General features: G+C 47.0%; 1 long non-coding RNA gene across 1 annotated transcript in view, besides 3 other annotated features; it reads left to right on the forward strand.

Moving 5' to 3' along the window:
* The window catches only part of APCDD1L-DT (APCDD1L divergent transcript), a 104514-nt gene that overhangs the window by 24731 nt on the left and 54264 nt on the right, over positions 1 to 25519 (forward strand). Inside the window, exon 6 of the long non-coding RNA NR_034147.1 lies at positions 7703 to 7819. This is a non-coding gene — a long non-coding RNA (APCDD1L divergent transcript). The remainder of the gene's footprint in view (positions 1 to 7702; positions 7820 to 25519) is intronic.
* Positions 1474 to 2673: an enhancer, noted in NCBI's record as "P300/CBP strongly-dependent group 1 enhancer chr20:57116639-57117838 (GRCh37/hg19 assembly coordinates)". NCBI's record gives its function as "activates an origin of replication core promoter dependent on BRD2, BRD4, P300/CBP, MED14 and CDK7 cofactors, with strong dependence on P300/CBP, by STARR-seq in HCT116 cells {active_cell/tissue: HCT116}" and the evidence as "EXISTENCE:reporter gene assay evidence [ECO:0000049][PMID:35650434]".
* Positions 5952 to 6453: an enhancer, noted in NCBI's record as "H3K4me1 hESC enhancer chr20:57121117-57121618 (GRCh37/hg19 assembly coordinates)". NCBI's record gives its function as "activates a minimal SCP1, AML or CMV promoter by ChIP-STARR-seq in naive H9 embryonic stem cells {active_cell/tissue: H9 hESC(naive)}" and the evidence as "EXISTENCE:reporter gene assay evidence [ECO:0000049][PMID:30033119]".
* Positions 19156 to 19656: an enhancer, noted in NCBI's record as "H3K4me1 hESC enhancer chr20:57134321-57134821 (GRCh37/hg19 assembly coordinates)". NCBI's record gives its function as "activates a minimal SCP1, AML or CMV promoter by ChIP-STARR-seq in primed H9 embryonic stem cells {active_cell/tissue: H9 hESC(primed)}" and the evidence as "EXISTENCE:reporter gene assay evidence [ECO:0000049][PMID:30033119]".

The raw sequence follows: 25519 nt of genomic DNA on the forward strand, positions 1-25519 counted from the left end.
CAGCCTGATCCACCATGGTACCCACCTTCATCCACGGTACCCACCCCCATCCCCCAATTCCCAGTGATCCCACTCCTGTTTACTTTGTTCCACTTTCTTACAAGAAAAATCACATCCTAAAATGTTCCCTCCTTGCACGGAAAACCCATCCAGACGAGGCTCAAGTCATAAAAGAGCATGAGACATGGATCTCCATTTGTTATGAAGTTAGTGGGCATCAGCTTTATCAACAGCCCCCATCTTTAATCAAGAAGAAATTACCCACTGGTGGGACATTATGGTTTTCTTTTACAACTAGCTCGTTTTTTAAAAAATTAATTTCAGTTCAATTTTTTTTTTAATTTTACATTTCGGGATCCATGTGCAGGATGTGCAGGTTTGTTACATGGGTAAACGTGTGCCATGGTGGTTTGCTGCCCCCATCAGCCCATCACCTAGGTATTAAACCCCACATGCATTAGCTATTTATCATGATGCTTTCCCCCACTATCCCCCTACACAGGCCCCAGTGTGTGTTGTTCCCCTCCCTGTGTCCATGTGTTCTCATTGTTCAGCTCCCACTTACAAGTGAGAACATCCGGCATTTGGTTTTCTGTTCCTGTGTTCGTTTGCTGAGGTTAATGGCTCAGTTCAACTTTTAAGCAAGGAAAGAGAAGGATAATTGTGCAGCGTTTCCTGAAAAGTTATGAAAGAAAGCAAAGGGTCATTTTTCAGAACTCCTCTCCCACCATTAAGAATCATCCATCGTGGCTCTTCCTTGCATCTTGCAGCCGAGCTGTAAGCCCTGGAATTGGCTGATGGGGCTTTGCTTCCAGAGATGTTTCTCAGATCCTCCTATTTACAAGGAGGGTGTTTGGAACTAGAAAAAAGCTGGAGGTTCGCATCAGGGGAAATTCTCAGTGCAGCTCACACACTCTCATGCCTGCTGGGAATCCGGGCCCTCCCCACTCCCACCTTCTCCTCTGCAGCCCTCTCCTCTCTTCTCCATCCTTATTTCCATTCGAATCAGTGGTTATGGGGTGCTGTCAGGCCTGAGCACCGATGAAGGGATTTTTCAAGCTGTAATTTGTCATGTGGATGAAGGTTTGATCCCTTGTTTGGTGCCCGCAACATTGGGGTCCTAATTTCCACTCCAGGGCCAGTTCTCTGTGGAGCAGGGCAAAGCTTGCCTAACCTTTCTATGTTAGTTTCATCTCCTGGAAAATAGAGTTAATATCTACCCTGCTCCTAGGAACACGGGAATTAGTTATTGTTTTTTCAGAGTGCTAATCTCATACCTTTGCCAACACAAGGCAATTCCACCAACAGCCCCCAAATTATATCTGATCACACAGTGGCTGAATGTGTTGATCATCACTACTTCCATTGTGAAACTCCAAACGAATATTTTTAAGGTTGCCACTTTATTCATAAATCCAAGAAGTTATCACAGCCACTGCAGTGAGTGAGGTTCAGAGCTGAGGGCCACTTGGAAAAAATCACCACCCACTCCAGCCCCGGCCTCCATCCAAGGCTAGGCAGGCTATCACGAAGCAAACGAGAAGGTCACGACAGGCTGCAGCTTCGTCCCTTTCCATTTCGGGCTATGATTAATCTTTTCTGATGTTCTTTTATTTGAAAAAATAATCTAAACTGGCCCCAGACAGAACCAACTCTCCTTAAAAGGGAAATCTACATGAAAGGACGGAATGTTGCTCACAGAGAGAAAAGACAGGGAACCCATCGCTGGAGGTTTGAGGCTCCTGAGGAGAGCACTAAGGTGCCTCGTCTTTAACTTATGGGCATAACGGGAGAGCTCTTTCTTCTTGAAGTTGGTGATTCACAACCTCATTTGAGGTCTGATTCCATCAAAAATACATCCAGCTCCAAGGGCTGCCAAAAAAAAGGAGGTTTTCTCTAACCCAAGAGACCCCACACAGTTTCTCCTCCAGCCTGGAGACCTGGGTGTACTGTCAGGGCCCCCACCTTCAGTTCTCCTGCCCTCCTGAGTTGTAAGCAGTCCCCAGGAAAGACTCTTCAAGAGGCAGGCCGCTTGGGTCTGGATGGTTCTCTAAGTCAGAGTTTCTCAACTGATGTGCGACTGACATTTGGGGCTGAGTCACTGGGGTGGTGGGGACAGATCTTTGGGGCTGAGTCACTGGGGTGGTGGGGACAGATCTTTGGGGCTGAGTCACTGGGGTGGTGGGGACGGATCTTTGGGGCTGAGTCACTGGGGTGGTGGGGACGGATCTTTGGGGCTGAGTCACTGGGGTGGTGGGGACGGATCTTTGGGGCTGAGTCACTGGGGTGGTGGGGACGGATCTTTGGGGCTGAGTCACTGGGGTGGTGGGGACGGATCTTTGGGGCTGAGTCACTGGGGTGGTGGGGACTGACCTGTGTATCACGGGAGGTTTAGTAGCCTTCCTGCTCCCACCCACTGGATTCTGTGAGCAGCCCCTTCTCCCATTGCAACAACCAAAAATGTCTTCAGACATTGCCAAATGCTTCTGGGTGAGAGGGCGCAAAATCACCCTGGTGGCAATTCATGGAGCTGTTGGTCCCACAGCCCTTTCCAGGGTGCCTTCATGTCCACAGGGAACCTTCAAAGTGCCAGGGTCTTTGGCTGAGTGGGTGAGACCTTGGGAAGGCAGAGCATGGAGCTGTCCTGACACGGGAGCATTTTTTTCCCTTGTGCACACATCCGCCTGGCAACCGTGCTACGAGTCACTGTGGCCTGCCTCCCAGGTGCCCCTTTGAATTGTGCCCACAAACCAGGTGGTTAATCAGCTCTCCAGCGCTGCTTGGAAGCGTCCCTGCCTAAGCGAGCATGTAATTACCAGCTCGCACCCTCAGCCGTGGACACGCAGGAGAGCAGCGGCAGAAACGGGTGGCTCATTGCAGGAGGGGGAGCGGGGGACTCTGGCCTTTGAAGCGTGACATGAATGCCAAAGATGATGGTGTCCGTCCCCTTTGGAGACTGGACATGTTTTGCTGGCCTTTACTGGAACACAGCCACCGGATCCCTGCAGATGGCTAGGGCTTCCTGAGCTACCTGTTTGAGGGAGCGGGCCCCCAGCCCCGGGGGGCACCTGAAGAGCGGCCTAAGCCTGCACACACCTTGGCCTCTTGTTAGGTCCAGGGGGGTGTTTTATTTGGCAGCCTTGTTCCCCATCGTATCAAACGAATTAAAATACGCCCACACTAACTATAGTTTGTTTGCAGTAAAAATATTTGAAAGGAGTTTAATGATTTTGCTTCTTAAATTATCTAGCAGCAGGTAATTCATCAAAGTTGCAATTACCTGTGATTTGCCCCACAACCAATAGGCATCCTTAGGCATTCTTGCAATGGTTTTCTCAAACGTAATGCAGTTTTTATGACGACGACATCATCAATACAGCACCCAGCAAGCAGTGAGGAGGCTGCACTGCTATAGTTGGCAGGCGTTTAATGAAGCATTTATTAATTTTGATTTTGTGGCTTTCTTGTTGAATTTTGGAGCCCATAATTTTCTTCCACATTGCACACACTTGCGTGGACCCCAGAAAGGTTCATGCCTAAGGCTCTTGGGGGTTTGTGGGTGGGTGGGGGTGCTCTTTTTTCTTGGCAGTATGCTGAAGGTGAGAAGATTCCAGAGGTAGCTGAACAGTTGCTTTGCTGGGGAGGGTTTGCTTAGCTGCTGGAGTCACTCCCAGTTTCCTCTTTCTTGGTTTTTGTGGTGGTAAAAATTAAGTCCAAGCATCTGGAGAGCCACATGTGTGATTTGCAAACATCAAACACAGCATTCATTCCTTATTTCTTGATTAATTTATTGGCTGTCGGCTTTCTGATCAGTCTACCAGCTGGGCATTTTACTTTTCTCTTACTGCGAACGAGGCGTAATTGCTGGGACGCAAACCGGTCGGAAAAACAATGAGAAATTAGGCATAATTGGGCGGCATTTCCTGACGAACTATAATGCCAAGCTCAACATGGGAGCCAGTGTTTTATTTTCTTTTTTACAAAAAGGGACTTCACAGTTATTCCTAGCGCGTGAGTTTTCCTCCCCACTGCTTTCCAATGCCTGGGACTGAGCGGAGGGGGTGATTTCCTTCTTCCCAATCAGAGGTAGCGAATCTCTCAGAGCTTATGGTAATATTTAAAGACATAAAAAGGACAGGACAATTAGAAATGTGCACAGGTAGCTTTAGGGCTGACGTTATTGATGCCTTTGTGATCAATAGCACTATTTTTATTTGGATTGCTAGCCATAGGAAGCTACGGCCACAAAATTTAGAGAGCCCTGCAGAGGGCCTGTAAAACCCTGTTGTAACTCTCATGTCAGGCCGGGAATAACGGCTGATTTAAAGGCTTTGGCTGGTGCAGTGAGGCGGGGTTTCCATCAGTGTATGCCCAGGAGAGGGGATTACATCTGCCTGGCGTCCAGACCCCAGGTGGAGTGAAGCCGTTTATAACACAATTTGGCTGCAGTTGAATTTTAATCTTGGGATCCACCGATTGCTTTAAGGGCGAGCTCGAGAAGCCGCCATTTGTTTTTGATAGCTTTACCCAGAGACTAAAGAAATCCCTCCCCCCACAGTTGTTCTGTTAGGGGTTGTGTCTGTGGAAGGGAATTGAAAGAGAAGATTTGGTAAATAGGAGCCATGGACTGTCGTGCTTTCTGGATGAACTGTGTGGACACTGGCTTTCTGATAATCATCGTAGCTAATATTCACTGGGTGCTAATGAGACGTGAGGATGCTGCTAAGCACATTTCACATCATGTTTATCTTCTTAATTGTTTATTTTATTTTATTATTTTTTTTGAGACAGACTCTCACTCTGTTGCCCAGGCTGGAGTGCGGTGGTGCAATCACCACTCACTGCAGCCTCTGCCTTTGAAAGGGCTCAAGCAATCTTCCCACCTCAGCCTCCCGGGTAGCTGGGACCACAGGCACATGCCACCACGCCTGGCTAAATTCTTTTGTATTTTTTGTAGTTTTGTAGAGATGTGGTCTCCCCATGTTGCCCAGGCTGGTCTTGAACTCCTAGGCTCAAGCAAGCCACCCACCTTGGCCTTCCAAAGTGCTGGGATTATAGGCCTGAGCTACCATGCCCAGCCACATCATGTTTATTTAAAAACAAACAAACAAACAAAAACAAAACCCAACTCACAACAACCTGTGAGAGACTATCTCAGGCCCATCTTCTGGACCCGCACTGGCCAATATGGTCACCATTCGTTACTGCGTTTGAAATGTGGCCAGTCCATACAGAGACAAGTTGTAAATGTCAAACATTCACCAGATTTCAGACTTGAGGTGAAAAAAAAAAGTGTTAAGTACTCAATAACTTTTATATTGATTACATGCTGGGATTTGGGTGATATAAAATGTATAACGAAAATTGTATTCTTTTGATTGTGTACCCATTTGTTTTTACTTTTTGAAAATGTGGCTAGGAAATAAAAAATTATGGATGTGATTCACATCATACTTCTAAGGCACTGATCTTAGAAGAAGAAAAGACACACAGACCTGTAATCCCAGCACTCTGGGAGGCCAAAGTGGGCGGATCACCTGAGGTCAGGAGTTTGAGACCAGCCTGGACAACATGATGAAACCCCATCTCTACTAAAAAGGCAAAAATTAGCGGGCGTGGTGGCATGCTACTTAGGAGGCTGAGTCAGGAGAATTGCTTGAACCTGGGAGGCGGAGGTTGCAGTGAGCCAAGATCACGTCACTGCACTCCAGCGTGGGTGACAGAGTGAGACTCAGTTAAAAAAAAAAAAAAAGAAAGAAAGAAAGAAAGAAAAAGAGGCCCAGAGACTAAAGGATCATGCCCAAGGCCGCCCAGCATGCAAGTGTCCGGGCCTTTTAGATGCTAACAACATGACCCCAGAATGGGCACTTGTGCATGAGTCAGTTTCTCAGTCAGCTTTTTGTCGTCAGCCCCACATCCTGCAGACCTTGGCTGAATTTGTAGCCCCTCCGGTCTCAGTTTTCCCAGCTCGGTCATCAGAGGCTGGAGTTGAATGATCTTTGTGGCTTTTTTGCGGACAATGGCGTTCTCAATTTTGTACTCTTTGGCACAGAGTGGTGTAATGTGGAGAGGGGAGCATCAGTCTCTCTCTTAATGCTTATTTAATTATATTTAATTAGGAATCTCGTTGCAATTGGTCTCCTGGGGCCATCTGCTGTGGAGATTTTTGAAGAATCCAAATTTTATTTCTTGCCATCGATCCATGTGGTTAATGGGCCTGAGGAGGAATGATGTCATCTGTCCTTCTAACTTAGCACAAGAGGCAGGAGGAGAAATTGAGCAAAATCAGGCTGAGCGCCCGAGAAGGCCACCCTTTGGAGAGCCAGGGCGGGCCTGGCTCATTCCTTCAGGTTCTCAACTGTAGTGCCCACGGTGTGCCCCAGCTTGCTCTGCCCTGTGCCAGGATTTTGGGGACAGCTGGGTTCTGGCATCATCTGTGCCCTTGTTAACATGGTACCCTAAAATTGATGCTTGCCCTGATGGTAAAATGGTGGTCTGCATGTGATCGGCACCAATCTGTGACGTCCAGGGTTCTTGAGTCAGCCACGTATTCCCTGGGTTGCCTTCAAGATGACCTGAGTGGACTCACTGCCTATTCTTTTCCCTCTAGGTGGAATAGGATTCTTACAGGAGTAGGGTGATAAGAGAAGGGGGCTCTCCTTCATTGCTGCCATCGGGCTCCTTGGTGGAAAACTGGGGCAGGATTCAAAGCAAGGCTGACATGACCTGTACTTCCCCAGAAAGGAGCCGCTGGAGGCCTGGCTAGGGCCAGCTCTCCAGCCCCGGCAGCTGCCCCCCACCCACCCCCACCGGGCATTTAATCAGTGTAACTGATTAGTTGAAACACACCACAGGCTGGGAGCCTGCGACCCTGGCTGACGTCCGGGGCTGTTGTTTATGGCTGGGTGATTTGAGGCAAGCCTCCCGACCCCGCTGAGCCTCGGATCCCTCAGTTACAAAATGAGACTTATCATATCTGCCCCCCTCCCTCCCCAAGTTGTTGAGAGGCTCCAACAATGTAGAGAGGCTGATATGAAATGTGGGTAAACAGGAGAGTGGTATTTAAATGTACGCTCTTACCATAATTGCCTTGTATTGTGTGTGTATCTTATCTCCCCAATTAGATGCGAGATCCTTGGTGACAGCCACCATGTCTCCCCCCTTTTGATATTCCCCACGCAGCCGGGATGATGCTGAACATATGGCTGCTGCTCAATAAATATGTTCTGAATTGTACTGAATTTCATTTTGGTTCCAAATCACCCTAAAAACTTGATCAGGTGCAGCCCAAAGGAGCAGGCTGGATGACGGAGGCTCCCCAGCCTGGCTCTGTGGCCGTTATGGGAAAATATCTGTGGAATGAATGAATAGATGAATGAATGAATGAATGCCTCGTGGTGTTTGCTTTACTCTTCCTGCTCCCAGCTTTGACACTGGCTGTGAAATCTGCCTCCTGTGCTCAAAATGACTTCTCCCTCTCCTCCTTCGGGATACGCTTTCTGCATCCTGCCTCGCTGTAGCTCAGATTTCTATTAAGTAGTCAAACATAATATAAAATTGCCAACAAAAAGATCATTCCTGGATTAATCTCCCCCTTTACATAGGGAAAGACATAAAAGAGAGCATAAGATAAGAAAAGGAAATGAAATTAATCTTATACTTTCTATGGCTGCCTGTTAATTTCAAGCTTTCCTGCATCCAGGTGCCTGTGTTCCTGCTCGGTTTCTGGATTGCTTGGTACTTAAATGAAACATCTTATTAATCATTTCCCGGGAATGCTGTGCAGGCAAAAGGAAAACAAAGGCATTCAGGAGCCACAGTAAGTTTATTTTTATAGTAATGCATACCTTATCATCAAGCATGGCCAAGACATCAAAATGCTAAGCCACATTTGTATACGATCTCACACTGCTATTGATAAATCACGTTAACAGTAAGCTGCTGGATCAATTCTGCCCTGACACCAACCTCTCCACGAAATAGAGATTCGAGAATAAATGTGAAGGTAACCAGGGAATAAAACTGTTTGAGAAGTTTCACAAAAGAAGCTGAACTCTGCTAATCAGAAAGTAGATCCATCTTTAATTCCGAAATGACCGCACAGCAATTCAGCAGTCCAGAGGACAGGCAGAGTTTCTCAGCCCCGGGGTGGAATGGATGGCTTCCTATCTCTGTCCTGCCAAGGCTGCGTTCTCACATCTTCCAAAATGTCCATTAACCCCAGCTGGCCCCTCACCCCACCAAGATGATGTAAATATAATGATTAACCAATCCACACTAGCATTAAGATTTCTTGAAACTCCTCTTCACTGAAAAATGCATTAGCTCCTGGCAGTACTGTCCAGAAATTAATTCACAGACAACCGAGCATCATTACCCATGGTCTGCCCTGGCTAACTGCTCTCTCTGTTAGTGAATTTGGGAATGGAAATGAGCTATTTCCATCCACTTTATCATCCAGAGACCTTAGTACATAGTGTATCTCTGGTAAGTGCTGTTATTGTAACCTGTTTCTAGAATTGCTATTACCAGTAATTCTGCAGAAACAGGGTCCCACCCAAAGCCATCAGCACAGTGCCTTTAAATCTGAAAATCAGCCTTTAATCTCTACTTTGATGTTGTTGGCAGAGGTGAGAGTTTTATTTCAGCCCAATTGCTGTGTCTTTTAATTTTTTTAAGTAGTGAGCTATCATCCCTCCAACCCCCTCCCCCAAACACTGAAGTCCAGAGGCCACTTTCTGGGAGAAGGTTGTTGTAAGTGGCCCAGGTGCTGGGGCTGGTCTGGTAGGAAGGGGTGTAGAGAACCGTAAGGGCTCCCTACAGGAAAACATCAGGACTAGCACAAGCCACCCTTACAAAACACAGAGTGAGCAATGGAATTGGCATATGGCAATGAGGCCTGCAGGGAGAGCTCCCTTGACCTTCTGCATATGGAGTTTAGGGTCCCCTCTGGAAGGATCCCTGTGCCGGGATGCTGCCCTCCCTAGTACTTCCTCCTCGTTCCCTTACACGTGAAGCTCCTGCCTAGCTCTTCCCTCGTGGCCCACACTACCTGGCTGAGCATCCCCTCCCATCATTTGCAGATCACAGTGGCCCCCTGGTCTCTAACTCCAGGTTTCACATCTGAGCTCCAGTTCCACCCCCAGACTTCTTGTCGCTTGCTTCTCCTGCCATGCATCCATCCCCTCACTTGTCCCCATGGACAACTCTTCTCTATGGTGTAAGCCTTTGCTCTTCTGCAGGGGCCTCTCCTTCCTTCCCCCCTTCCCTTCCTCTGGACCTGCTCAATGTACATTCTGGCTATACATATATTTGGTCTCGGGATTCGGTTTCTGTCTGATTCTTTGAGTAGCTGCCGGGGCTCCCGGGGCATGGTCTGGATCCTGCTCATTTGAATTTCCCCTTTCCCTGCAGGGTTTGTTGCACAGTAGGTCTCTACAAATATTTATTAAATGAGTGTGCCTGTATTCAAACCCAGGAGATGGGGGAGAAAGATCAGAGGGAAGATTTGATAAACAGAAGGCTTCCAAGAAATAGCTTCCAACTCCAATCAGTTCTTTTTCATTTTATTATGATAAGAACACTCAACATGAGATCTACCCTCTTAACGAATTTTAAAGTGAATTGCAAATTATCCAACCAACTGATGACTGAAAAACGAAGTGCTGAAAAGACACTCAATAAACATAGGCCACCTTGGAAATGTATTAATAATCATTATCGTCACCATGTGGCGGCTGTGGATTGAGCGTCTGTTCTGTGCCAAACACTGTGCTGAGTGCTCTGTGCCTGTTCCCTTGTTCACCCCTGCCCCAATCCTCTGAAACAGGCCTGCTCTCACCCTTAGTGGAGATGAAGCCATGGAGGCTCTGAAAGCCACACCCGCCATCACCCAGCCAGGGGCCGCCTGAGCCCAGCAAGAGTCCACCCTGGGGGATGCTGAGTCCCTGCCTCTCACCACCATGCATGTTGTCTCTGGGCTTCTAAAAAGGCTGAATGATACAAAGGTCTTGGGGAGGACCCATTATGAAAAGGGCATGTTCTTTGTTTTGGCCCCAGTACACAGCACCATCCGCCCATCATTGTCTTCCATTCAATCTCCAGCATGATCAGTAATATTTGTTAGCGGGAGAGGGGCTGGTGTGTGGGCTGCAGCCAGGCGGCAATGAAGCAGAAGCTTTACTTCTAAGAGAAGCTAATGGGCCCGGTTTAGGGGGGCACAAGCCCCTGACCTTGGTTGGATAAGCCTCTAGCACTAATCAACATTACCGGAGAAGTCTGTATGCGCTAACAAAGCATAAATATTTGGTCTCTATTGAAGGTCTCCAGGGCCATGGCACACAGCCGCCTTAAACATGCGTGGTCTACTTGCTTGTTAGGAAAGAGAAAACACACAGAAAAACAGCCCTTTGAATCCATTCTTCCCCATAGAAACAGAAACGATGTCCTGATCATTATGTCTAAAAAAGCAGTAGATACGAAAATTGGATTTGGTTGGAGCTGGATTTTAGCTGCAAATGGGTGGTTTTTAATAAAGTGCCTCATAGCAACCGATCTGTGAAAAGCTGCTACTTAAAAGCAAGTTCATATGATCTCAGAAAATGGCTCATCAGACAGGGCAGTCTCTAACTGTTTATTTATAGTCGTCTGCGCCAGATCAGATAAGCTGGTGCTCACAGAGTTGGGCGAGGGGGGGGGAGCTTCTAGAATGTACCATCCATTGGAAACTCACAGCCTCGGACTGTGGATGTGATCAGAAAACGGATCACTGACTCACACTTTTGGAAACAGGGCCCGGTGGGGTGAGAGCTATGGGGAGGTAGGCTGTGTTCTCGGGATAGAGGTTCTCCAAGTGCTCAGACCTGAGAGTTGTTTGTGAAGTCTGGGGGCTGAAGAAATAGGACTGGAGCTGGAGGACAGGCACCGGGGGCATGAATGAGGATAGGCGGATTGGGGCTGAGTCCTGCCTATGAGACGTTTTGCCTGTTTGAACTTGAGCGAATGCCCTTCCTTTTCTTTTTTCTCTATTTATTTATTTATTTATTTATTTATTTATTTGTTTGTTTGTTTGTTTGTTTGAGGCAGAGTCTCACTCTGTCGCCCAGGCTGAAGTGCAGTGGCTCGATCTCAGCTCACTGCAACCTCTGCCTCCTCGATTCAAGTGATTCTCCTGCCTCAGCCTCCTGGGTAGCTGGGATTATAGGCACACACCACCACGCCCAGCTAATTTTTATATTTTTAGTAGAGATGGGTTTTACCATATTGGCCAGGCTGGTCTCAAACTCCTGACCTCAGCTGATCTGCCCACCTCAGCCTCCCAGAGTGCTGGGATTACAGGTGTGAGCCACTGCGCCCGGCCTATCTTTCTTTTTAAAAAGACTTTATTGAGATACAATCCACGTTCCACACAATGCAACTATTTGAAGTGTAGAACTCAACACTTCTTAGTGTATTCCCAGAGTTGTGTAACTGTCACCACTGTCCATTTTGGAACATTTTCATCACCTCAAAAAAGAAACCCCATACCCTTCAGCAATCATCCCCTATCCCCCCATTCCCTCTAGCCCTGAGCAGTCTCTGTCTGCTTTGTCTCTACAGATTTGCCTGTTCTGGACATTTCCTTTGAATGGACTCATAGGGGATGTAGTGCTTTGCGTCCGGCTTTTCTCACTTAGCGCCGTGTTTTCAAGGTCCTTCTGCGCTGTGGCCTGCGTCAGGGTTCCATTCCCTTTCAGGGCAGGCCCTTTCTGGTCTTCAGATTCCTCATTGGTCACATGGGGTGAACGCTGCCACGGGCTCCCTGCTGATAACCTTCCACTGGAGGGGAATCCAACTCAAGTGTTAGTGAGGGGCTGAGCTGTGGAAATTCCCCCCCAAGGGCAACTACATCTTTAGCTCTTTATCCCTCCCTCACCCCCTTAAAATGATGGTAATAGTTGAATGCTACTGTATTTCATCCATCAGAATAGAATAGCTTTCTCTCTTCCCCCACTGGGACTCCTGTTTTGTCCCATGCAAAGCTTGGATGTGCATTTGTTTTGATAATAGCAACAAGATTCCCTCGGATTTTTTGAGCTTTCAGAGGGGCCAGGCTCTATGTTTGGGCCTTACATACAACAGCTCATATGGACCCTGTGAGGTAGAGAGTCATGGCCCTGACTGAGCAGATGAGGAAACTGAGGCTCAGAGAGGGTCAATGAAGTATCTCATATTCTCCACAGAAGGCTCAGTTCTTCTGTAAATGCCTCTGGGGTTCAAGAAACGCAGTGTTCCTGGACTTGAATTTTCCAATACAAGTCTCTGGAGTAGGTCTAAGTGGCCCTGGAGAAGCTGTGAAACCGGTCTCCAAGCACAGCACCCTGATACCTGGACACCTACGCCCCCAGGAGTACAGAGACCTTAACAGACAAGGCCAATGAGACAGTGTGACAATGGGGGTTGCAGAGGAGCTTGGCTGGCCCTGAGCAGGTGCCCAGGAGAGGGGGCCTGGCAGAGGTTCCCCCAGAGGTAACGCCTGAGTGGTGTCTTACAGCACAAAGCAAAGTCACCCTGGGGGTGGAGGAGGCCCTCTGTACATCGTTTGATTAACGGTACTTAGAGGAGGTAGGTACAAAATGCTGCGGGAGTGCGGGGGCAGGGGTGATTAATCCTCCTATAATCTGTTTGCCACAGTTTTGCTGTTGCAGGAGGTTTTGCTGGAGAGATCGATTGGGTCTTAACAGAGTGGTGAAATGGTGCAGGGACTCTGTTGCTAACTCCAGCAGAGCCTCACCCAGAGGGAGGCTCAACCCTCACAGCCATGTGGCTTCGGGGATTTCAAACCGGTGCTTCTCTTGGTGGACTGGTGAAATTTTCCCACAGAACCCATTTGTTTGATGCAGGGAGTGGAAAGGATCAGAGGAGATGGGAAGAGAACAGGAAGAAAGGGAGAGATAGCAGGAATAACTAGCCTCTTATTTGATTCATTATTAAAGAGGTGAAGGTGCCCCTTCTTCCTTACTTCCACACTCAGAGTTTCTCTCAACCCCCATCACAATCCTGTGAGGCAGATTCATGTCCCTCATTTTACTGGTAAAAAATTCAGGGGCCCAAGAAGTGGACTGGCTTGCCTAGAGTTGGGCAGGGAATCAGTGCCAAATTCAGGTCTCAACCCCAAAACTCCAAATGCTGTGCATGGCCAGAGGGGAGTAGGAGCTGGTGGTGCCCATGATGTTCCAGGAACCCCTAAGATGTGGCCTGATACAGGGGTTGTACAGATGATCTTGCCACATTGCTGGGCTGGAGGACAATTTGGGCTATACACATTGAGCTGTGGAAGCCCAGAGAAGGATGCCAGAATCTGCTGGGGCAGTCAGGGAAGGCTTCTTGGAAAGGGGATATTGAGGCTGGGTTTTGGTGGATGTGTAGGAGTCCTTGAGTTCACTAAGGGTGGAAGCTCATTCTGGGAATGGAAGCAGTATGTGCAAAGGCTCAGAGTTGGGATTGGGGGCCTTGTATCTAGAGAACAATCTGACTTGCAGAGTGGCTGATGGTAGGATGTGGGGCTAGTTCGGAAAGCAGAGGCAGCCGGAAGAAGCATCATGGTTCACAGCTCCTCCACCACCCCTGTCTGTCAGGCACTCACAAGGTAGACTTTTCCTGGGGCAGGATTTTACTGGAAGTTAGGGAACTGTTCATTGCTTTAGGGTGTTTGGAAGCTAACAATGGATTCTCCAAGGAGTGAGAGCAAAGCCACAAGCAGAAAAGGATTATGCTGTTGAAATTGTGTAACTGCCTCCCTCTGTTATTTTCTAATTAAGGAAGGGGTGAGGGGAGCCCCAAGGCTTTGAAGCAGCAAGAGAGAATTCTGAAATGTCTCCAGCCGGCCCCACGAGAGGGTCTGATTACAGAGCAGGCTTCTCCAAGTGTGACGTCACCCACTGGGCAGTGGGGATCGGTCACAGGAGTGGGATGAGGCTTCAGCGTCTAAACCATAGAACTAAAATACCTGCAACCACAGGCCCTGAGGCCACAACCCAGCGTGGCCCTTCTCTTCCTAGGGTAATGCAGTGGGCTCTGGACAGTGTCACTGGAAGCCCGTGCTGCGTGCTGGGGCATTTCAGAGGGAAGCCCCGAGTGTGGCATTCTGCTCTAGCTGTTCATCTTGGCTCTTGCAAGAGGCATTTTCTTTCTCAGGAGAGAAGCAAGATTCTTTCTGGAATAAATGTTCAGATCTACCAGCTCCACAGCTGGTCAGAAGGAGGGAAAGAAGAAAGATAGGTTATCACTCCAAAGACTTCCTCCAGCCTCATGAATGACCTGGATGGTACTATGGGCTGGTAGATTTCTGAGAGGTGATGGTGGCACCACTTAAAACATATAGCCCTGCGATTATGCCTGAAAATGCCACTCTTTGGGAGTCACTAGTTCAGCGAATCTTTACTAAGCATGCACCATGTGCCTGGCACTGTGTCAGGGACCGGTGAGGATGGTGAACCCTGCCTGTCCGCTGTGACTGTGTAGTCTGCAAGGAGAAAGCAATAGACAGATATAACAACTCCAGATTGGAATCCACTCCATGAGAGAAAGAGGGAAGCAGACAAGGGTGGTGAGAGGTACTGTGCTTTGGAGGGCAGCTGAGCTGACTCCACAGGAGGCCCAGAGGCTGCCCTGCAAGTGTGGGGAAGGCGTGCTAGACAGAAAGGGTGGCATGTGCTGAGGCCTCTGGGGCATTCCAGAAGTCAGCAGAAGGTTCCTGCATCAGGAGGGATGGAAGCAGGGGAAACATTCTGAAGGGGAGGCAGAAAGAGCTGGGAGGCCAGCTTCACTTTTTCACCAGGAATGGTCCCCAACAGGATCCACAGTGTAGACCTTGCCCCAAGAGGGTCTATATAGCCCACCTCTCCCCCTTCATGGGGAGTAGGGAAGGGGCCAACAGGTAGACTTCTCCTTCCATTTCTAAGTCTTTGCATCTTAAAATTTTGTATTCTGTAGTCATTGAAGAGGTTGGAGAATCTTTAGTTTGAAATGTAAGATGATTTCTTCAGGAAAAATGATCAGATTCCTCCTGACCTCTTGTTCCAAGGAGAATAGGTAGTATTTTATCATTGCGGCATTGTGTCATAGCTACAGCTAACACCATCTGAATGCTTGCCAATGTAACAAAGGGAAAATAAAGTGGGATGACTCAGTCTTGGGTCGTGAAAGCTCAGGAAAGTGAGACAACCACCTCCCACTGCCAGCCTTGGTACAGGGAAGGAGGAAGATGGGCAGAAGCCAGTGCCTTCCTCTTGCCCAGCCCTGATCTCCACTTAGCAGACATCCAGCTGCCCAGCCTGGGGTCTTCACCATCTCATTCACCTGTTTGGAATATTAACCAGTTTAAAAGAGCTTGGATGAGGGATGCTCTGTGATGAGCTCATTATGAAGACAAGAAGCCAACATTGAACAAAATACCTTGAGCCAAACACATTCCCTCTTTGAAGGAATTCTCAGGGCTAGCATGCTAATGAGCATTATGACCAGCCCATAAGGAGGCTAAAGTATGTAGCCTTTCTCAAATGTACTTAAGGATGAGTGCTTATTTTAAGGTACATCTTATAGGCAGGGGATTTTGTGGAAATCGGTTTGGGATACAATGCTTTAACCTGATTCAATTACCCTTTTACCTTTGTTGTCATCAAGAACAGCTTTAAAAATGGCAGTGAGCAACCATCCATTCATCCAGTCAACTACGTATCCAACCACTTATTCAAACAATCATCTGTTTATTCATTCAGTCTGCCATCCATCCATCCATCCATCCATCCATCCATCCATCCATCCATCCATACACCTATCATCTGTACATATAAGCAGGCAGCCATCCAGGCTTTCCGTACCCTGTACACAATACTAGGACTTTGGCAGACCCAAGACTAGATGTTTTCAGGGAGCTTCTAGTCTAATATAAGACTACCTCCCATACACAACCAGACTTCTGGGTGAAAAGTGATTTTTGTCTTTGAGAAAATGAAATTCTAGAAGCTAAGAAACGGGGAAAGCTCCTCTCCTTTGGGGAGTCCTTGAGGGCATTTTTCCCAGGAAAAGGGATTTGGACATAAAACTGTGGAAGCTGGAGACCAGGGATCCCAGCAGGGGACCAGTGAGAGCAGAGGGCCAGAGGTTCGACAAGGGCATGCTGGGGGAGCCATCCTGCCCCACTTCTTTGTCTCTGCTTGGCTGAGTAGAGACTACAGTACCAATAAAAGGCTGCTGTTCAGCTGCCACATTACTGGCAAGAACATCTCTAACGAGGCTTAATTCTTCCATCGGCATGAGTTTCCTTAGGTGCTGGCTTCAGAAACATTTAGTTTATTTAGAATCAGAGGCTGAAATGTGTTTGTCTTCACAGTGCCCACAGATGAGGCCCTGAGAACCTGTCTTTGGCTGCACTGGGGCTGGAAAGAAACCACTGTCCAGTATTAAGCACCATTCACCTGGGGGCCCCAGATGCTGACTTCCCAGAATATTCTACCACAGGGCAACAGAGTTGGCAAGATCTCTATACATAACCAGAAAGAGATGAGATCCTTGGGGCTCTGCAGAGAAACCACCCGTTTGCCTAATAGGGCCATGTGCTCAACACTCAACATGGCTGTGGGCTATGTAGGGAGACCCAGGTCCTGAGCTTGGGGTATAGGGGCTGGCCCACCTGCCGGGCACCCTGACCCCTGGAGGTTACATCCTAATGGGGGAAGATAGGCAGTAAGCGCCAAAGAAGTAAATAAGATAACGACACACTGTGCTAAGTACTTGGGGGCGATAGGCTGATGTGCTGGAAGACAGTTTTAGACAGGGTGGTCAGGACAGGCTTCCTAAGGATGTGACATTTGAACTCAGATGAATGACAAGAAGGAGCCAGGCGAAGTAAGAGCTAGGGAGGGAAAGCTGGTGCCAAGACCCCGAGGTTAACAGGAGGCGACAGATTTTGAGAGACAGAAAGGCCAGTGCAGATAGAGGCTGTTGAGCAAGATGGGGAGTGGTAAGGAAAGTCACTGGTAAGGTGGGCAGGGGTCCAACCACTGGGGCCTGTGGCCACAGGAAGGAGTTTCAGTTTTATTTTAAGTGCAGTGAAAAGCAAGGGGAAGGTCTAGACCTTCCCCTTGAGAGATTTTGTGTTTGAGGTGAGAGATTTTGTGTTTCATTTTGAAATCCTTGCTCCGGCTGCTGAGTGGAGGGAGGGTGTTGGGGTGAGCGTAGAAGCTAGGAGAACGGTGAGGGGCTGGCACAGTCATGGAGGGACCAGATCAGGGGTGGAGCAGCCAGGAGCTGGAGGGAAGAGGAGGGTTGGGGATCTGGTGTGGAGGTGGAGCCGGCAGGACCTACTGCTGGATTGAATGTGGCTGTGGGAGAAAGAGGAGAAAGAAGGACCGCTCTAAACGGGGCTTGAGTAGCTGGGAGATGTGGCTCTACTCCTGGGCTGCAGGAAGGTGGGGGAGAAACAGGTTTGGGGACAGGGAAAGCCAAAGAGTTCTGTTGCGGCCATGTTGTGTGAAAGATGCATCTTAGCTATCATGGAGGCAGCTGCATGTATGTCTGGACTTGGTGGGGGAAATCCGAAGCAGGGGAGAATGGAGACCAGGGCAAAGAGAAGCAGAAGCAGAGTCAAGTGATAGCAGGACAGAGGGGAGGGTGCACAGCTCTGTGTGAACTCCCGGATCCAACCATGCCTGAAGCTTGACCCACCTTGGACTCCAGTTATGTGAGCCAACCAGCCCCCACATCCTTTGTTTTATCTGAGTCCGTTTGAGTCGTGCTTCTGTCATCTGCAGTGGAAAGAGTCTTGGCTCAACACAGGAGGCATTTTCAGTATTTCAGGCGGATATAAATGCCTTTCCTTTGCCTTGGGCTGGAATTGCATCACCCCAGGGTGGCAAGACAAGAGGTGGTAGCCAGCTGTAGAAAGAGTGGACCTTTGCCATTGGGCAGACTCAGGAGCTGGTCCTGGCTTTGCCTCTGGCTGCCCGTGTGACCTTGGCGAAGGAGAACTGCTTCTCTGTCCCTCCATGTCCTGGCACGGAGGGGTTGTGGGAGGACAGCATGAAGGGTGCGGGGGCAGCGGCTGGTGCGTGGCAGGTGCTTAATAAGTATCAGCTTTTGGCCTCTCTCCCCCCTACACTGATTAAAAGCTCAGGTTGGCAGTTATTTATGTCTTTGATTAATTAAACAATTGGAAAACAAATTATTACTTAACAAAGGCAGTTTGGGCAACACAATCTTTGAAAACATGAGGGCTGGCGGGGAAAAGAACAAAAGTGGCACTCAGCAGTGAGGATGGAAACTGCCAGAGTAGAAAATCTTCAAGGTCCTTCTCATCTGGAAAATTCACCTTTTCTGGATGTGCAGAATATGGCTCCTTACAGATAAATGTTGACTTACGGTTTGAGTGGCTCATCACAGGTCACAGCGCCTTCAAATGGCAGCCAGGTCAGCACTCTGGTGTCACCTACATGGACTTTATCCAAGGCAAGAGGTGGAGAGGGAGAAACTGGACCTGAGTCACAGCCATGTGGCCGGCCGCTGCCGTCATTCAGGTGAAATCCACCTCTGTCGCTGTTCTCCACGGCCCCTCAACCCCCATGGCCAGCCCTCCCTAGTGGCTGAATTAAGCATCAACCACTGGGCAGTAAAGCTCATAGACCCGTGGAAGTGCCCTTGGCTCAATGAGGGTGGGGAGAGGAGGAGAGGGGGTGGGGGTGACCCTTGTGCTTGAGTTTCAAAACTGCCCAAGTTTTTCACCTCATTAAGTTATCATTTGCTTTGAGGAAAAGTTCCCTGGAGTCCAGGGGTTGTGTGATGAAGTCCCCTCCCTCCACCCCGTAACTTCCTGGCCATCTGTGTGGCTCACAACCCTGAGGCTTCCAACGAAGAGCAGTTCAGCCACCCCTCAAGTCTGCTTCACAGCTGGCATCACTTGAGCGCATCGCCTCATTTTTTTGAAGGGATCACAGTAGTCTATGGCTTTTTCACCTCCAAACCTGCCCTCACTGGGTGCAGGAGAAATTCTGATTTGCCAGGAACCTGTCCAGTCATCTGGAACCTTCGCCAGGGCTGGGAAGGTCAACTCCTGCCACAGGTCATATTGATTTTATTGGATGGCTTTTTCCAAAGCAGTGGAACAGCAGCAGGGCACGGCAGGCAGGGAGGGTTTCCAGTTCTGCGTGTGGGCACACGGCCCACGCTGCCTTAAACGGCTCTCCTGCTCCTCGCTGGTACAGGGAGAGGGTATGGGGCTGGCCCACCTACAATCCCCTCCTAGATCAGGCCTTTGCTTGCATTATCAGAGCGGGACTGTCAACCTGGTTTCCTTAAATTGCTGTGTGAACTCAGTCCATGTGTCGCCACAAAGCAAGACACCCCATCCGCCCCACGGAATATATGAAGCGTCTGTGCAGTGACTGCTGTCGACTGCTTCCTGGGAGCTGGCAAGGAAGCCCCTGCTAGCCCCTGATAGGGAAGAGACAGCCCTGGAGGCCAGAGCAGATGTGCCTTGGGAAGAGTCAAAAGGGAAGAGGGAGGGGTGGGCTGGGTTGAACGCCTGCTGGACCTGGGCTGTATACTTTACCATCTTCCAAGGGAGGCATGATCCCATTGTACAGAGTAAGGCCCTGAGGCCAGGAAGGGCAAGGTGACCTGAGAGCTGGCACCAGAAGCCAGGCCTGGCTCCAGAGTCCTTGCCTGTAACAGAGAGAATGGATGTTCTCTCACTTTGGTACACATCAAAATCAGAGTGCTTGTCAAAATGCTGTTTCCCAGGCCCCGACACCAGCTCCTGGGGGTCAGACTTCTCTGGATAGCCAAGTCACAGATGTGTACTGTGTACTGGCAGGGGCCAAATGAGGACCCATGGCTACACTGCTGACTGAAGGTCTTCTCCAGTGATGGGCAAATGACTCCGGACCCATGAACACCAGGGGAGTGATCCAGGGGGAGAGAAGATGTCTCGGGCTCTCTGGTTGCAAATTCTAACCCCCATCATTTGTCTGACCCTTTCTCAATCCAAATGGTTTTGGAAATGCCAGCACACACTCTACTTCCTCGGAGGCACATCTGTGTTTCGTGGTGCAGCAAGGACAGCCTGGGTGCAGGCACAGAGGTCTGCAGTCACATGGGAGTTTGGAGGCTGCAAGTTGCTTGATGCTGGTGGATGATCAAGTATGAGACGTGTTGTGGAGGGGTAGATAAGACAGATCATGAAGGTCAAATATTGTATCTGTCCCCTCTGCCTTTTTTGTTCCCCGGAGTGGTGACAGGAAGTCTCATAAGGTTTTTAACTGGGGGATGAAATGGCCAGTCCTAGGTGTTTGAAGGCTCACCCTGGCTGCAGTACAGAAAGACAAAGCTGGGCCAGGGCCACGATCAATTAGGAGACTTGTGTGGTCCAAGCAAAAGATACAGAGGCATTTGAGTTCAGATTAACCAGAATGAGGAGTCCTTATAGATCAATGAGAGCATTCACTAGAGAAACCAGAAGAGCCATACCTTAGCAGTGGGCCTAAATTATTCCTACAGTAAGTGCTACATTAGACCCACCCTAATCAAGATTATAAACAAGTCTCCAAAGAGTCAAACTGAACCACAAGTTTGATTTGTCTGAAAAAGTTTTTGCCCCCCAAAGTCTTTATTTTATAATTATCTGCCTACCAAAGCAAAGCCCAACACTTTGGAAGGAAGACAACAAAATTTTAGACACTCAACATTGAAGTGTCTAAATGTTCTTAGAGCGGAAAGAAAATGATGCCAGATAGAAATTTAGATCTACAAAAGAAATGAAAGAATAACAATAACAAATATGCATGTAAATATGCTATTTTTAAATTTTAAATTAATTTAAAATAGATCTGGCCATTTAAAACAGAAACAATAGCAATGTGTAGTGGGATGTGTAATGTAATTATCATAATGTTCAGCATCCAAACAAAAATTACTCAATATGTTAAGTTGAACAATGTGAGACAATCAGTCAAGAGAAACAGTCTCAGAAATGACAAGGATGATAGAATTAGCAAACAAGGACATTAAAACAACTATTAAATGCGTATTCAATTATTCTTAAAACATGAACATAGTGAAGAGAGGAATTTAGGAGATAAAAAGCACCAAATGGAATTTCTAGAGATGAAAACTACAATATCAGAAATGAAAAATATAATGGGATTAACAGCAGATTTGGAAATAGGGTGAAATGAGAAGTGAATGTTAAGACATAGCAATAGAAATGATCCAAAATGAAACAGAAAAAACAAGACAAAAAAAATGAATAGACTTTCAGTGACCTGTGGGACAGTATCAAGCATGTGTAGTTTGAGTCTCAAGGTGAGAAGTAGGGGGAGAGGGCAGGAAAAGAAATGAGAAGAAATAATGATTGAATATTTTCCAAATTTGTTGAATGCTATAAATCCTAAGATCCAAGAGCCTCAACTAGCCACAAACAAGATTCACACACACACACCACGCCGCACAGCAACATATATCATATTTGAATTACTGAAAACCAGTGATGAAGAGAAAAATTTTTATATAGCCAGAGGGAAAATGTAAGCCAGGAGACAGTGGAATGACATTGTCAAAGTTCTGAAAGAAAAAAACTTGTCAACCTAGAATTCTATACCTGTCAAAGATATTTTTCAGGTGAGAGCCAAATAATGACTTTTTGACAAGAAAAAAAAAAAGGTGATAGAATCCATCAGAAGAAACCTGGCACCACAAGAAACATTAAAGGAAGTTCTTAGAGCAGAAAGAAAATGATGCCAGATAGAAATTTAGATCTACAAAAGAAAGGAAAGAATAACAAATAAGTACGTAAATATGCCTTTTCATTTTTAAATTAATTTAAAACAGATTTGGCTGTTTAAAACATAAACAATAGCAATGTGTAGTGGGATGTATAATAAGTGAAAGGTATGACCACAGAGGAAGGAAGAATGAGAGGGCAAAATGGAAATCTATTATTTCCTACATTGTATGAAAGTGGCATAATATTATTTGAAGGAAGACTATGTAATTAAAAATGCAATTTTGTAAAAGTAAAATTAAACAAGAGGTCTAATTTATGAGTTGACAGTGGAAATGAAATGGAGTCATTAAAATGCTTTATACCATTAGCAAGAGGGTAGCTATAAATCCAACCATATCAGTAACATTAAATACAAATACTCAGAACACTCCAATTATAAAAGACAGACATGATCAAATTGGATATAAAAACAAGACCCAACTATATGCTATCTTCAAGAAACCCACAGTAACTATGAAGATATAAATTCAATGATGGAAGAAGATATACTATGCAAACACTAATCAAAAGTAGGCCCAGAGTGGCTGTATTAATCAAGGAGGATTAAAAACAAGAAATATTATCAGAGTTAAAAAGAGAAATTCTATAATGATGAAGGGGTCAATTCACAAGGAGACATAACATTCCTAAATGTATGCATATAAATAACAGAGATTCAAAATACTTGAAACAAAAACAACTGAACTGGAAGGAGAAATAGACAAATCTAACAATACAGTTGGAAATTTCAACATCCCTGGATTGATAAATGTAGAAAGAAAATCAGTAAAGATGTAAAAGACCTGATCAATGTTATCAACCAACTTGGTTTAAGGAACATTTTAAGTGTCATTCCACCCAACAGCAGCAGAACACACTTCCTTTTAGAGCATATGTGGACTAGTCACCAAGATAGATCATAGCTTAAAAATGGAAACAAAAACCCTGACATTATCAAGTGCTGTGAGTACGCAGAGCCACTGGACCTCACCTACATTGTGGATGGGAAGGCTGAATGATGCAGCCACTTTGGGAAGTAGTTTGGTACTTTTTTTTTTTCTTTTTGCAGCCATGACCTCCGGGGCTCATGGAATCCTTCCTCCTCAGCCCCCCAAGTACCTGAGACTACAGGCGTGCACCACTGCACCTGGCTAATTGTGTGTGTGTGTGTGTGTGTGTGTATTTTTTGTAGAGACAGGGTTTTGCCATGTTGCCCAGGCTGGTCCTGAACTCCTGGCCTCAAGCAATTCTCCTGCCTTGGCCTCCCAAAGTGCTGGGATTACAGGTATGAGCCATTATGCCTGGCCTGGCAGTTTCTTATAAAGTTAAATATACATCTACCATAACACCTAGCATCCCACTTCTATGTACTTACCCAAAGGAAATGAAAACATATGTGCACAAAAACATATATGTGGATGTTTACAGTGGCTTTATTTATAATCGCAAAAAACTGGAAACAACCCAAATATCCATCAGCTGATGGATGGGTAAAGAAACCGTGCCACAGCCATATGATGGAATTCCTACTGGAACTACTCAATGTTAGAGAGGAATGAAGGGCTGATACCCACAACTCAGATGAATATGAAAGGTATTATGATGAATGAATGAAGCTGGGCTTATAAGGCTACAAAATGTATGACTCCATTTACATGATATTTACATTCCAGAAAAGGTAAACACATAGGAGGTGGAGAAAGGGGACTGATTAAAAAGGGGCATGAAGGAACTTTTTGGAAAAAAAAAAAAAGGACTGCTGACATGGTTAAGAAAACCAAAAGACAAGACACAGAGTGGGGGAACATATTTGAATGCACATATCTGTAAAGGACTTTTGTATCTAATATATAAATAACTTTTACTATTCAATAATAAAAAGACAAATAACCCATATTTAAAATGGGCAAAGGATTTGAAAAGACATTCTACCAAAAAAGACATATGGATAGCTAATTAGTTATAAACGATTCATGTAAAGTTGTTCAGCATCGTTAATCATCAGGGAAATGAATATTAAAAGCACAATGAGATACCACTATGCTTGCCAGAATGGCTAAAATTAAAAAGATAGACAACACTAAGTGTTGACGAGGATGTGGAAGGACTGGAATTTTCTTTTCTTTTCTTTTCTTTTTTTTTTTTTTTTTTTTTTTTTGAGACAGAGTCTTGCTTTGTTGCCCAGGCTGGAGTGCAGTGGTGTGATCTTAGCTCACTGCAACCTTTGCCTCCTGAGTTCAAGTGATTCTCCCACCTCAGCCTCCCGAATAGCTGGGATTACAGGCATGCACCACCACACCCAGCTAATTTTTGTATTTTTAGTGGAGATAGGGTTTCACCATGTTGGCCAGGCTGGTCTCGAACTCCTGACCTCCTGACCTCCTGACCTCAGGTGATCCACCCGCCTCGGCCTCCCAAAGTGCTAGGTTTACAGGCGTTATCCTAGCCAAGGGCTGGAATTTTCCTACATTGCTGGTTGGAAAAGAAGTCAGCAGTTTCTTAACAAGCTAAATATATTCTTGTCATTTGACTCAGCATCCTGCGTGGTGTATGCGCCACTATGGAAGGCAGTTAGAGAACTGCTGGTCATAAACTCCATTGTACTTGTGGGTCTGCTGTGGCCACACTGGTCCCTTCAGGGTCTATGGCTGTGTTGGTCTTTCATGGTCTCGGGTTGCTATGTCTTTTTATGTGCTTGTGTCCAGTTTAGACAGTTTTTCTAGCTTGTCTGACAGCAGGCTGTCAGAATAATTTTTTGTCAATGTTTCTATCTGCAGCTGCTGCCTTTCTTTTTCTTTTTCTTTGAGACGGAGTCTCCCTCTGTTACCCAGGCTGAAGTGTAGTGTCGTGATCTCGGCTCACTGCAACCTCTGCCTCCCCGATTCAAGTGATTCTCGTGCCTCAGCCTCCCGAATAGCTGGGATTACAGGCACACGCCACCATGCCTGGCTAATTTTTGTCTTTTTGTGGAGATGGGGTTTCGCCATGTTGGCCAGGCTTGTCTTGAACTCCTGACCTCAGGTGATCCACCCGCCTCAGCTTCCCAAAGTGCTGGGATTACAGGCGTGAGCCACTGCACCGGCTGTAGCTGCCTTTATTTATTTATTTATTTATTTATTTATTTATTTATTTATTTATTTATTGAGATGGAGTCTCGCTCTGTCTCCCAGGCTGGAGTGCAGTGGCTCAGTCTCGGCTCACTGCAAGCTCCGCCTCCCGGGTTCACGCCATTCTCCTGCCTCAGCCTCCCAAGTAACTGGAACTACAGGCACCCGCCACCACGCCCAGCTAATTTTTTGTATTTTTAGTAGAGACGGGGTTTCACCGTGTTAGCCAGGATGGTCTCGATTTCCTGAACTCGTGATCCGCCCGCCTCGGCCTCCCAAAGTTCTGGGATTACAGGCGTGAGCCACCGCACCCGGCCTGTAGCTGCCTTTCTTTAAAGGTGACTTTGATCTGCTGTGCTTTCATCCCAGCAAGGACACTGACTGTCATTCTTACTGTTGTCTTACCTTCATTTCTTTATGCCTTTTGCCAGCATTACCTCATTTTGTCTGCTGGGGAGGGACTGTCACTCTCATTTACCACTGTTCGTCAGCTCTGGCACAGCGCTGGGATTCAAGTAGGTTTGACTCCAGTGTGTTCTTTGATCACGGAGCTGACAGTATGAAGGGAATTCAGAAGTTGACGCCATGTTGCCCACAGACAGACACGAACAGAGGG

The sequence above is a fragment of the Homo sapiens genome, chromosome 20 (assembly GCF_000001405.40).
Source record: "Homo sapiens chromosome 20, GRCh38.p14 Primary Assembly".
In the NCBI taxonomy this organism is placed as follows: Eukaryota; Metazoa; Chordata; class Mammalia; order Primates; family Hominidae; genus Homo; species Homo sapiens.